The sequence below is a fragment of the Homo sapiens genome, chromosome 16 (genome assembly GCF_000001405.40).
Source record: "Homo sapiens chromosome 16, GRCh38.p14 Primary Assembly".
In the NCBI taxonomy this organism is placed as follows: domain Eukaryota; kingdom Metazoa; phylum Chordata; class Mammalia; order Primates; family Hominidae; genus Homo; species Homo sapiens.
The window spans coordinates 49,426,881-49,439,438 of NC_000016.10; the positions used below are offsets into that span (position 1 = coordinate 49,426,881).

Consider the following 12,558-nt stretch of genomic DNA (forward strand, 5'->3'; position numbering starts at 1 on the left):
TCTTACAATGGATGGACCTGCACTGACACATCATCACCCAAAGTCCATAGTCTGGTGGTGTTTTGTAAATGGAATTCAAACACTCATTCTTTCAACAGATGTTTACTGAGCACTTACTACAGGCCACACTCCAGTTAAGGGGCTGAAGAAACAGAAGTAACAGGCAGCTCCCACCCTAAAGTAGTAGACATCAAAAGAGGAAAATTTGGTGAGCTCAGGCCTCCAGTAAAAATCCACAGATAATCTGTTCATCATGAAACACCTGGATTACACAGGCTATATCACTTAGCTTTTTCTGCAAAATGAAGTACCCCAAAATGCAATGGCCTGAAACAAGTATTTATTTAGCTCCTGATTCCAGAGGTTGGCTCGCTGGGCTGGACTCAACAAGGCAGGTCTTTTGGGCTTGGCTGGGCTGCCTCTGTGGTCAGCTACAGGCCACAGGTTGGTAGGGCGGCTCCACTTGTAGAGTCGGCTGGCTATCAACTGGGGCAAGGTAGGGCTGGAAAGGGGTCCCTGGCACACAGGTCTGCCATCACCCAGCAAACTAGCCCAGGCTTGACCACAGGCTGTCTCGGGGTTCCAATAGCAAGGAGCGGGCAAGCCCCAAGCACAAGCCCTTTTCAAGTTCTTGGGTCAGGTTCACCCAGGCCCACTGGTGAAAGCAAGTCAAAGGGCCAGCTGGTTGAAGAGGTGGAGAAAGACTCTCCCTCCCAGTAGGAGCTCCAAGGTCTTTTTGGATGGGCACAAATACAGAATGGGGAAGAATCTGGGGCCACTTTTGCCCTCTGCCACATAGATGTGTCTGGTTGGAGAGAAAACACAGAAGCAGGAGAATCATTCAAATCCCTCTCCTGTTCAGCATTTCTTCTCAGCTACCACCCTCCTTACCCATCTTTCTTTACCTTGCAAACTTCCCAAAAGAGCAGATGACTCTTGCAGTCTTTGCCCTGGCTACTTGCCTGTCTCTGCTGCAGTGGGGACACCACTCCACCCAGCCTGCTCTCGAGGAGTCCGGTGGAGATCCTGTGGGGACACCACCCCACCTAGCCTGCTTTTGGTGAATCCGGTGGAGATCCATTAGGGACACCACCCCACCCAGCCTGCTCTCGGTGTGTCCAGTGGAGATCCAGTAGGGACACCACCCCACCCAGCCTGCTCTTGGAGAAGCCAGTGGAGATCTGCCAATTGTAACCCTGGATGAGGTTCTTCCATCTTTATCATCCCTTCTGTCTTGGCTACATTTTGCACTGCTTGTCTCCCCTGTCTTCAGCATTCTCTTTACCTGTGCTCAAGTGTATGCCTGTGCAGGACATATGTGCCCCCACTATGGGAAGGATTATAATTCCCTCTCTTGTGGACCCCAGGCTTGGCCTGGGACTGGCTTTGGTCAATAAAATATGAGCAGGAGTGACATCTGTCACTTTGGAGCAAAAGTCTCAAGAAGAAGTGCACGGTTGTGATTGCCCCTTTACCTCTGCCATGAAACAAGCAGCATCATAGGGAGAAGCTATGTTACCCACACAATGACTGGGCTTTCTTGCTTAGTGGGTGACAGTCCAATGACCACAACCAAGGAGAACTTAACAAGGGAATTTTATGACTTACAACAAGTAAGATGGACACAAGGGGTAGTTCCCAAAGCAGTGCCTCCCAGAACACAGGTAAAAACAGGGCTCTTGTTGGGCTGGAGAGCTGAGTCATCGTATGCAGAGGTGGAATAAAGTCAGCACAGGTGCAGTTGCAGATCATGCTTCTACATAAGTCACATGTATAGAAAATGGTGAGTAAGTTCCTTTCTGGGCAGGGTTTTTAGTATGGATATATGGATAATTCGTCAAAGATCACCTCCAACTCAAGCATTTCTGCATCCAATCAGTTTTTGTTTTACCAGGGCTGGGCTTCTTCCTAGAACTTTTCTGAAACAGCAAGAAGTCAAGGTGTGACAGTTGCAAGTGGGCCTTTTTTTCACAGTGTGTACCCAAAAAAACAAAACCCAGGGACCCTGGGTTACAGCTACACCATCAGCCTGGACCCTGGCAAAAGGCACAAGCTATCTTGACATGGTTGTTACTCCATCTCTGTTTCTGAGATTTGGGGGCTGTTTGTCACTGCAGCACAACACAGCAGACCCTGACTGATACAGTATTCTCATGGTTTCCATTGCACCACTCTTCTTTGTTTCCGGGCTGCCACTCTTGCTGCTCCTCTCTTTCTGCCCATCCCGCAAATGTTGCTGCTTGTGTTCTGTATTTGGCCTGCTATTTCTCACTCATTTACTCCCTGGTTTCACTATCTCTCAATGACTCCCAGGTCCAGATCTTCAGCCCAGATCTATCCTTCAAGCTTCTGCCTCATATGTTTAGTTGTTTCTGAGTGTATCGTCTGGATGTTTCATGGGTACCCCAAGACCTGCCCCACTGCTGCATTCCAGATCTCCATTGTTGGCCCCTTGTCCATTAGCTCACCAAATTGTCTTGTCCTTGACTGCTCACTCTTCCTCAGTAGCATCTCAGCAACAGAACATCACACTCAGTGAATGCAATATCCTACATCCATCCCCCAACTCCCCTCCTATTCATTCTGCCTCCACTTCCTCAGTTCCAGCTACCAACCACTATTTCCTGAACCATGGCTACAGCCTCTGATAACCTTTATTCTTTCCTCAAGCCTTGTTTCCCACTCCCTCCATCTGCCACCCAGCACAGACCATAGCTCATCTTGGCAGTGTGTGAGAACTATCAAAAATATACATCTGGCGAGGGTGACCTGTTTGCACCTGCCAAGGTTCCCCATCGCCCAAGACACAACCCAAACTCCTCACCAAGGCCTACAAGATCCCCACCAGTGGGATCCCTACCAACCTCACTCACCCACCCCAGCCTACGCATCTGCACAAGCCAGGATCCTTGTCGCATTGTGCCTTCCTAATGCTAGCCTCTCTAGCTGGCCAGCATGCACTATCCCCACCCCATACTCTGGATAAGGCCTACTTACTCTTTAACACAAGCCCAGATGTCATCTCTTCCAGGAAACCGTCCTTTACCACCACCACAAACACATACACACACAGTGGATTAGCACCAACCCTCCAAGCCTGTCCCCACCACGCAAATCTCCAGCACTGTGTTCATCCCACTAAAATGTACTTCACTGTTTGATGTCCCTCTCTCGTCTCTGATGATGCACTTCCCTACCATGCTGGCATTTACAACATGTCTTCCCTGTGACAGCTAACATGTGGAACTGGTCAAATGTCTGTCTTAGTGAGGGTGAGGGCAAATAAAACAGTAACCATTCAGGCCGGGCGCAGTGCCTCATGCCTGTCATCCTAGCACTTTGGGAGGCTGAGGCGGGAGGATCACTTGAGCCCAGGAGTTTGAGACCAGCCAGGGCAACATGGTGAAACCCCATCTCTGCTCAAAATACAAAAATTAGCCTGGCGTGGTGGTGTGTGCCTGTAGTCCCTGTTGCTGGGTGAGGTGTCAGAGCCCCAGCATCAGGAAGTAGTCGATTTGCAGGTTGGTAAGAATAATTTACCAACAACAGTACAGGTTTGAAAAAAGGAAGACTTTTTTTTCTTTTCTTTTTTTTTTGAGATGGAGTTTTACTCTTGTTGCCCAGGCTGGAGTGCAATGGCGCATTCTTGGCTCACCGCAACCTTTGCCTCCCAGGTTCAAGCGATTCTCCTGCCTCAGCCTCCCAAGTAGCTGGGATTACAGGCACCCACCACCACACCCGGCTAATTTTTGTATCTTTAGTAGAGATGGGGTTTTGCTGTGTGGCCAGGCTGGTCTTGAACTCCCGACCTCAGGTGATCTGCCCGCCTCAGCCTCCCAAAGTGCTGGGATTACAGGCATGAACCACTGCGCCCAGCCGAAAAAGAAAAGTTTTATTAGAAAAACAGAACAATGCAGAAGTATGCAGCAGGACACCTTGGCAAGCAAAGACCGCGTGCGTTTACTTTAAATCCCTCATACAGGAGTTTCTTGTGTGTGTCTGGATGGCCTACTCGATGGCCGCCAGGTGGTCTTTGCTCCCTTCATTACACCTGGATGTCGCAGTGAGCTGTGACCATGCCACTGCACTCCAGTCTGGGTGAGAGAACAAGACCCTGTCTCAAAAATAATAATAATAATAATAGTAATAACCCTTGTATACAATGTCCAGTTTTCAGCCAGTCTATGAATCCCGGGTTCCAGCTCCATGCAGCACCCTTTCCATCCTCCAGGTCGGTGTTCCCACAGTGGTGTGCTACCCTCGACATCCCGAATCCTGATGTCACCACTCTAAACAAAACATTTACCAGCACCCTCCCATGGCGGCACCGTGACTGCCCGCACAAGGGCCCCCACGTGTGAGTTCTCCCACCCACGGGGTTGCATGCTGGGTGCATGCCTGCTGCCCAGCTCTGATTCAGAACCACATGTATGAGATCTGCTGTGCCAGTGCTGTGTGCTTATCTCATTAATCCAGAAGCAATCCATCAGGTCAGCTGGAACAGATCCCTTTCACAGTTAGGAAACTGAAGCACAGGTAGGTGAGTAAGTTTCCCCAGGGCACACAGCTTCTAAAGGGTTGAACTGGGTTCTGACCCAGGTAGGTGTGGTCGGCCTCCAGGGCTTGCTCTGAACCATGTCCCACCGAGCATGAAACATCTAAGAGCTTGAGTCCGGGATGGACTGATTGTTATTCAGATTTAACTTGCCCCATCATTTTGGTCTAATATCTGACCATATTATTTTTCTGAAAATTCAGCACCTGAGACACGGGTTGCAATGAAAGGAACTGGCTGCAAGTCTCAGCTCAACTACACTGTCCATGTGACTAACCCCTCTGACCCTCGGCTCCCCTTCTGCAAGACGGGTGGTATTGCAGATGCTGGAGCAAGAATTCCCAGAGGTAGCAGGGGCACCCCATTGCCCACCCAGAGTTCTTCTGGGGGAACCTCCACTATTCATTTCCACTGGAGAAAAGCCAGGGACACAGTGCCCTGGCCACACTTGGGCTGTCTAGGGGACAACAAAACACAACCAGCCAAATGGCAACAGGAAAGCACCAGTTGTTCCATCTACCCAGCACTGCAAATGGACTTGGCCATTTCAGTGTCTTTCTCGGCTGAAGTGATTGATTGTTTCGGCATCATAGGGGCAACCTGGACTGGATGCCAGAGTATCTCATCAGTTCCGTCAGACCAGGTGTCAGGCTGCCGGGAGCCAGCCACCAGCGCTCCAAGGATGCTTTCCCTCACAAATGGGTCACGGTGTGGAAGAACCGGTGGAGCTGAGTCGGTAACCAGGTGCTAACCAGCTGTTCAACTGGAATCAGCTATTTTTGTGTGTTTTCTGAATCCATTCATGCAAGATATTTGATCAGCCCTACTCTGTGCCTTGCACTAAGGATTCACTAGCCAAAAAAACCGGGCTCTTTCCCCAAGAAGTTCATCATTCAGAGAGAAGTCAAGCAAATAAAAATGCAACCGATGCACGCACCACAACAGAAAAGATGCAGCCCCATCTCGCCCGGTGGCAGCATGGTTCTGACCAGCATGGCATGCACACTGTGCCCCACCAAGGACACAATCCTCATGGCTCTGCTTCTCTCCTTCCTGATGCTTCCTCCCCACTCTACCCAAAGCCCCCTCCTCCTTCCAAGCCCGCCTGCCCTAGGAGCCCGCCAAGGACTCTGTCACACCCATAAGTCCCCCTCCTCTGAATGTTTGGCTTACTGCTTGCTTGGTTTGCCCAGTCTCTTAGAAGGGAACTATGCTGCCCCGTATCACAAACTATGCTATGTGCAAACAAACACACAAACAAAGCCTGTTTCAGGTAGCCCAGATCATGTGTCTTCATTTTATTACATGTAGGTAAGCAACAACAACAAAAAAGTCACCTGTTACTATGAACAATTTGATGTCTGATCTTCCAGTCCTTTGTTCTGTGAATACATTTGCTTGTCTGGATATTTCACTGGTGTTGTGTTGTTTTGTAACTGCTTCTTGAATGCAGGAATTATGCTCTCCCGATCTCTGCACCCCCGAAGGACCTCACTTCCAGTGCAAGCTCACAGCCTTGTTGGGTGGCTATTTTCAATGACAAGAGCTCACAAGGCTGAGGACTTCTCATGCCCAGGCCCGCTGCCACTCAAGTCTTCAGGGCCCTTGAGAAGGAGCTGCTTCTGGGCATAGGGCACTGGCTACCCAGTGAGGGGCCTACCAGCAGGCTGCTGAGCTCTGGTTCCCCTAAAAAGGGCTCCTCTCAAGGAAATCTCACCAACCAGACTATCAGATCCACAGCTCAGACATATCCTCTATGCCTGACCCACTGCGGGAGGGTGAGCTAAATGATTGGTGGCCCCACCACCTTCTCTGGAGGAACTCATTTCTCATGGGTGATACAGACAAGGGAAGCTCAAAGAGGAACACCAAGAGGAAGAGAAGGGAGGGGTGGTGAATTTAACCTGTGGGAGCCTCCAGCAGGTGTAAAACTCAAGGTCTTACACTGTCCCTTTAGAATCAGATCCTGTTCATTCATTTATCTGCATCCTACAAGTGTTCTTGGAACACCTACTATATTCTGGGTCTTTTTCTAGTCTCTGGGGATGCAGCAGCAGACAGCACAGATAGAGGCCCTGCCTTCATGGTGCTCATATTCTCATGGGAGTACAAACAAGTGAATGGATAAGCAAGCTGAGCTCCAGAGGGTAGCATAGGCAATAAATGGAGAGACAGGATAGAGTGGCATATGGTGGGGAGAGGGAGGCTGCTCTACATTGAGTGGTCAGAGAAGGCCCTTCTTAGGAAGTAAAACGTGATCTCTTACAGAATAAGAGATCAGTCCTGCCAAGCAAAGACAGGGGCAGAGGCTGCAGTAAGCACAAAGGCCCTGGGGCAGGAAAAAGTTCTGCATCTTTGAGGAGCAGAAAGTAGGCTCCTTTCTAGAGTAAAGTGGGGTGGGGAGCATAAGATGAGGTCAGTAGGGGTAAGGACCCTACAGGCATGCTGGGGAGCTGGGATTTATTCTAGGAGACATAGAACAGGACTGGAAGGTGTTGTTCACCAGGGGCTTCACAGAGCAGAACATCCTAGAGCTGGGCCAGGCTTGGGTGCAGCCCCAGGATAAGATCTAGAGACGATGAAAGTGGAAGGCAGATTGAATGGCTACACATAGTTCACCAAATATCTTCATTTTCTCCCTTTAAAATAGCACCATAACCAGGCACAGTGGCTCATGCCTGTAGTCCTAGTTACTTGGGAGGCCAAGGTAGGAGGATTGAGTGAGCCCAGGAGTTCGGAACCAGCCTGGGCCACATAGCAAGACCCTATCTCTACAAAAAAATACAAGAATTAGCTGAGCATAGTAGTATGTGCTTGTTGTCCCAGCTACTCGGGAGGCTGAGATGGGAGGATTGCTTGAGACCAGGAGTTTCAGGTTGCAGTGAGCTATGATTGTGCCACCCTGCACTCCAGCCTGGATCACAGAGTGAGACCCCATCTCCAACAAAATAATAATGATGCACTTTTTTTTAATGGCCTGACAGCTAGAAATGTGGGGCACTGGCTTTCCAAGCTATAGATGCCCCAAACTCAGTGACCTCCCATGGGATGCTGACCCCGCCCCACCCCCCACCTTCATGCCACCCACCTCCACTCATCAGTGGCTGGAGGGACTGTAGTTCATTCTGCCAACAAGTCCTTACTGAAGGGCTTCCATGGGACCTATGATAACCAAGCCCCATCATGCTGAGGTCATGGCCATGGCCTCTGACCTCATGAGGCTATACTTTGACAGGAGAGCCAGATACTAAGCAAATGCTCCACATATGCATCATTTCAACCCAGAAGAGTGTGAAGAAGAAGATGAAGGTGTTAGGGGCACTTTATTATAGAGGGCTAGTGTAGACTAGGGCTTAGGGGAGGAAGTTTTTCATCTGAGATGTCAAAGCCCAGTGGGAATGAACAAGGTGAGGCCAGAGCAGGGCGGGGACAAGTACCAGAAGAGAACAGCATGTGCAAAGCCCTGAGGAGATCATTTGGTGAACAAGACAGACATATCCCCTGCCCTCCTGGAGCCGACAGCCTACCGAGAAGAGGAAATGAGTTCAAGTCCAGCCCAAAGGCAGATTCCAGCTCCCACCACCGGCACGGAGGCCCACAGTTGGCCTGGATATCAAGGCCCAGCCTCAGTACAATCCCGTCAAGACTCTTAGAAGCATGTTCTTTTAAAAAAAATTAAAAAGGCTTTGGGCAGAGCAGTTAGATGCCCACAGCACAGTGGGGCGACCACCACCTGAGCCCAGGGTCTTCCTAGAGGTTTAGACACAGAAATTCTTTATCAAGCTCAAGCTTTTCCTTCCACTCAGAGGGCAGCCCTTTCTGGGCTTTGATTTCCCCATCCCTCAAATGGACAAGGCAGCCTGACCTACTCCACAGGTATTTCCTGGGGGCCAGATAAGATAATAGTCATGAACACACTTTACAAATGCACCTTTTTGAAAAACAGCCCGGCAGCTGGAATGAGGAAGGCACAGTCCTTCAGTGACTGGGGCTCCCAAATCTTCCTGCAAATATCCACTGAGGAAAGAAATCCTCAAGGGAATCAAAAGTCACTATAATATCGACTGCTTAGGAGCATGGGCCTTAGAATCAGAGCAAGGTAACACTGGGCCAGCGCCTCTACCCTTCTGAAACTCCATTTCTGCAACTATAAAGTGGAGATGGTAAGAGTGCCCACTTCATGGAGCTTTGGTGAAGATTACATAAAAGGGTGCATGTGATGTATCTAGGACACTAAGGCCTCATTGATACCGGCAATTGGTATTATGATCCAGGTTCCCCCAGATCTGACATTTCTAAAGCTGGCAGAGCCATCAGTCCAGAACTACCACAGTGCTCCTTGTCCCCTGCCCCTCAGTGTCACAGTCAACATCAGGAGTCAGGACAGAGGTGGGCGAGGGTCAGAGGGGTGCCTGGGAAACCGTATTTCAAGAAAGCTGAAGAAAGGGGATGATTTCAAGTTTTCAGCTTCTAGAGAACCTGGCCTGCTCCCCATCTGGCCTAGCCTTACTCTGGTACCCCAGGTTCTGGGCTTCCCATGGAACCAGCCTCAGGCTAAATCTACTGCAAAAATTCCAGAAGCCAGAAACAGAGAAGTGTTGGTGGTGGCAGGTGAGCCCACCAGCAACAGGGGACACCTACTGAAGAGGACAGTCCCAGCCACTAGGTACAAAACCGGACTGAAAGGGGTCCCAAAGCAAATGGAAAGAATCCAGGACCCACGTGCTTATTGTTTGTTAAAATCAAAGATAACATTCCAAGCCTTGTTAAGGTGAGGGCACACACTCTCTAGACTCGAGCAAAAGAGTTTCAAATACAGATGGGACAGAAAAGAGCATGAAACCCAGGGGAATCAATGATCCTGGGTTTTGGGGGAGCAGACATGTGCCTTGGGACATGGTGAGTGTGTGCACCTGTTCGTGCACACGTAGGTACCCGTGCATGCCCGGGGGAAGGAGGGGTTGCTGGAGAGTGTGTGCTGGAAGTGGCTGCAAAAGAAATAACTTTTTCCCAACACAACCTTGGAAGACAGTGCGAGCTTTATTTCAGGCAAATGGCTGTAGTCAAAGGGGTCCAGTTGAGACTTTTCACCCTTGGCCTTCTCCCTTGCTCTGTCTCTGTGTCTAGTTTTCTTCGCTCCTGTCTCTCTTTCTGTGCCCCAAGGTCTTTTATTCTCAGTTTCTTTCTGCTTGTCTCTGCCTGTCTCAATGTCTCCATCTTTCTCTGTCTCTGCTTCTCACTGTCTGTCCATCTGTGTGTGTCCCTGCCTCCTGTTTCTTTCTCTCTCTCCACACACACACTCCTTTGGGATTCCATTCCTCCGTTTCTCGGTCTCTCTCTCCCTCCACGTGTCTCCTCTCATCTCTCCCCCTAACAATCTTATATCTTCCTTCATCCCAGGAACTCCTTTTCTTTCAGCTCCATCAGCTGCTTCCTCTCCCTTTGTGCTAGGAGAGGTGCTGTCTTCCAAAGGAGCAGAATCCTGGGAGAAACAGGATTTCCAGGTCTGAATGCTTAATTTCATATTCCCGTCCAACAAGGGCAAAGATTCAAGCCACATTGTATCCTGGCTTATCACACATTCCCCACCAGCCCTGGTGAAATCACCCTCTTCTCCTCCCCAAACGGGTGCCTGGCTGTTCCTCCTGAGAAGGGGGTACATTGCAGGGCTCTTTTCAATGGTTTTGGTCCCCAGAAATTCCAGGCAGGATCCTCTGCCACTCTCCAGAGAGTGGGCCTGGGACTCGGGCAAGGTTCAGCTGGCTCGGATTTCCCGAGGTTCACATCTAGGCTCTTTATTTTGTTCTATTCCATCCCAAGAACAAGTGCTTGCTGGCTTCCAATTGTAACCAGTGATCACTGGTTACAACTTGTAAAAATGAAGACCTAAATAAAATGTGTACAAGTTCCTGGACAATTTAGTGAATGAATACACACACATAATTCTAAACAATGTGCAATATGAACTCATGTACTCTTTATAATGTATCCCCATTTTTCAGATGAGGAAATTGAGGCACAGAGAAGTTAGAAAACTTGCCAAGGTCACACAGCCGCACAGTGTATTTGAGCCCAGCCATCCACCCTGGGGCTCCGGCTCGGAAGTGCCGCCCTCTGCTGCCTTCCCGTGGCCTGCAATGCAGTCCTTCTGGTGAGCACAGTGCCCTCCTCACCTTGGTTCCTAGAACAACAAAGCCCTTCCCTCCCCAGAGCTTTGGGGCTGAGCTTCCTTCCCCCCACTTTTCTGCAGGTCTTGTTGCCTCTCATCCTTCAGGTCTCAGCCCAAATATCATGCTCAGGGACCCTCCCTGAGACCCCCCCAGGAAAAGAGCCCCTACCCCAAGTTCCCCAAGACATCACACTACTTATTTCCTTCAAAGTTTATCACCTTGGGATGTCCCCGCTAGTTTTTATCTGTTTTCTTGGTTACTGTCTTTTTCCTTTCCTGGAATGGAAGCTCACTATGGATAGAGACCGGATCTGTCTTGTTCCTAGCAATAACCACAACAGAACAGAATCCAAGCTGCAGAAAGGTCTAGTAAACTAGTAAATGCAAGTAAATGGAGCTGGCACAGCTCAGAGGAGTGAGGTGGCCAGGGATGTTTCAGGAGGAAAGGATGGTGAGCAGAGGCATAGAGGTACAAAAACATGATGTGGGACAGGCACAGTGGCTCACACCTATAATCCCAGCACTCTGGGAGGCCGAGGCTGGTGGATCACTTCAGGTCAGGAGTTTGAAACCAGCCTGGCCCACATGGTGAAACCCCGTCTCTACTAAAAATACAAAAATTAGCCAGGTGTGGTGACAGTTGCCTTTAACCCCAGCTACTGGGGGGCTGAGGCAGGAGAATCACTTGAGTCCAGGAGGGGAGGTTGCAATGAGCCGAGATCGCACCACTGCACTCCAGCCTGGGTGACAGAGAGAGACTCTGTCTCAAAAACAAACAAAAAAATGTCATATGTACCAAGGCGTGCAGTCCGTCTGTGCCACACACTTTCAGGGGTTGTGTTGGCAGGAAAGATCCATCAGCTCCGATCCTGTATTTGAGGATGCAGATGAGCTTGAATTGTGGGCCTTGAATGCCAGGCTTAGGAGTCTGGGGTTTACCAGCAGGCAATGAGGAGCCAGTGAGGGAACTAGAGAAGCGCCGTCTGCTCTGGTTTTGGGAGCTTGACCCAGCAGGGTGGTGGGGCAAGGAGAGGCTGCAGCAAGGAGATCCCGTAGGACCTAGAGGAGGACTCTTCCTGGCAGGAAAGATCCAGGATCTTGGGGGAGAGGCAGTGGTGGGGGAGCAGAACTGAGAGGGAAAGAGCCTCCCGTCGCCTGAAATTGCCCAGATGTATTTTCTAAAAATCAGAGCAGGTCGGGATCTTTGTTTTCTCTTTTCCCCCTGCCCACTTCAGGGCGATGAGGAGTAGATTGTGTTTCCAAACACATCAGAAGAATCTGCAGTGGAAGTTGGAAGAATAACCCCAGGCTTCTTGGTCTAATTCTCAAGGTCAACTGATATCATTAGAATAACATGAACTCAATTTGAGTTACAGCAGGGAAATCATGTTAGGAAATATGGGTCACTCATCACTGAGTAATGAAGCTGTTACCTTGCGCGATCGGAAACGCGCTTGCACAGAAACCTGTCAACTGTCCTCGTCCCATTGTAGGGCTGGCTTTTAACAATGGAGTCGCCCACAAAAACCAAAGCCCACTCCGAGAGGGAGGATTGAGCAGGGACAGCTTTGGTACCTGCAGCCTCAGAGCCAGCCAGAAGGGCAGGATGTCCTGGAACAAAGGCCGGATTTGTTCCCATTGGTTTTCATTGAGAAGCTTTCTCTGTGATTCTTGAGATTCTCTTTAAAGGCCACAGTGGGAAATGGGGTCAAGGGAAATGCCCTAAGGTCGAAGAACAGGCAAAACCCTGTTGGTTGAAGAGAGAAACACCAATGCTTAGCACAGAAGAACTAGGCTCCAACAGTAGCCCATGCAGAGAGTAAGAGTCATGACA

The 12,558-nt window shown here is 49.8% G+C and overlaps 1 long non-coding RNA gene across 1 annotated transcript in view, besides 2 other annotated features; it reads right to left on the bottom strand.

Moving 5' to 3' along the window:
* The window catches only part of LOC105371244 (uncharacterized), an 81,768-nt gene that overhangs the window by 54,557 nt on the left and 14,653 nt on the right, over positions 1–12,558 (bottom strand). The window lies entirely within an intron of this gene.
* Positions 3,861–4,361: an enhancer, noted in NCBI's record as "H3K4me1 hESC enhancer chr16:49464652-49465152 (GRCh37/hg19 assembly coordinates)". NCBI's record gives its function as "activates a minimal SCP1, AML or CMV promoter by ChIP-STARR-seq in primed H9 embryonic stem cells {active_cell/tissue: H9 hESC(primed)}" and the evidence as "EXISTENCE:reporter gene assay evidence [ECO:0000049][PMID:30033119]".
* Positions 4,362–4,862: an enhancer, noted in NCBI's record as "H3K4me1 hESC enhancer chr16:49465153-49465653 (GRCh37/hg19 assembly coordinates)". NCBI's record gives its function as "activates a minimal SCP1, AML or CMV promoter by ChIP-STARR-seq in primed H9 embryonic stem cells {active_cell/tissue: H9 hESC(primed)}" and the evidence as "EXISTENCE:reporter gene assay evidence [ECO:0000049][PMID:30033119]".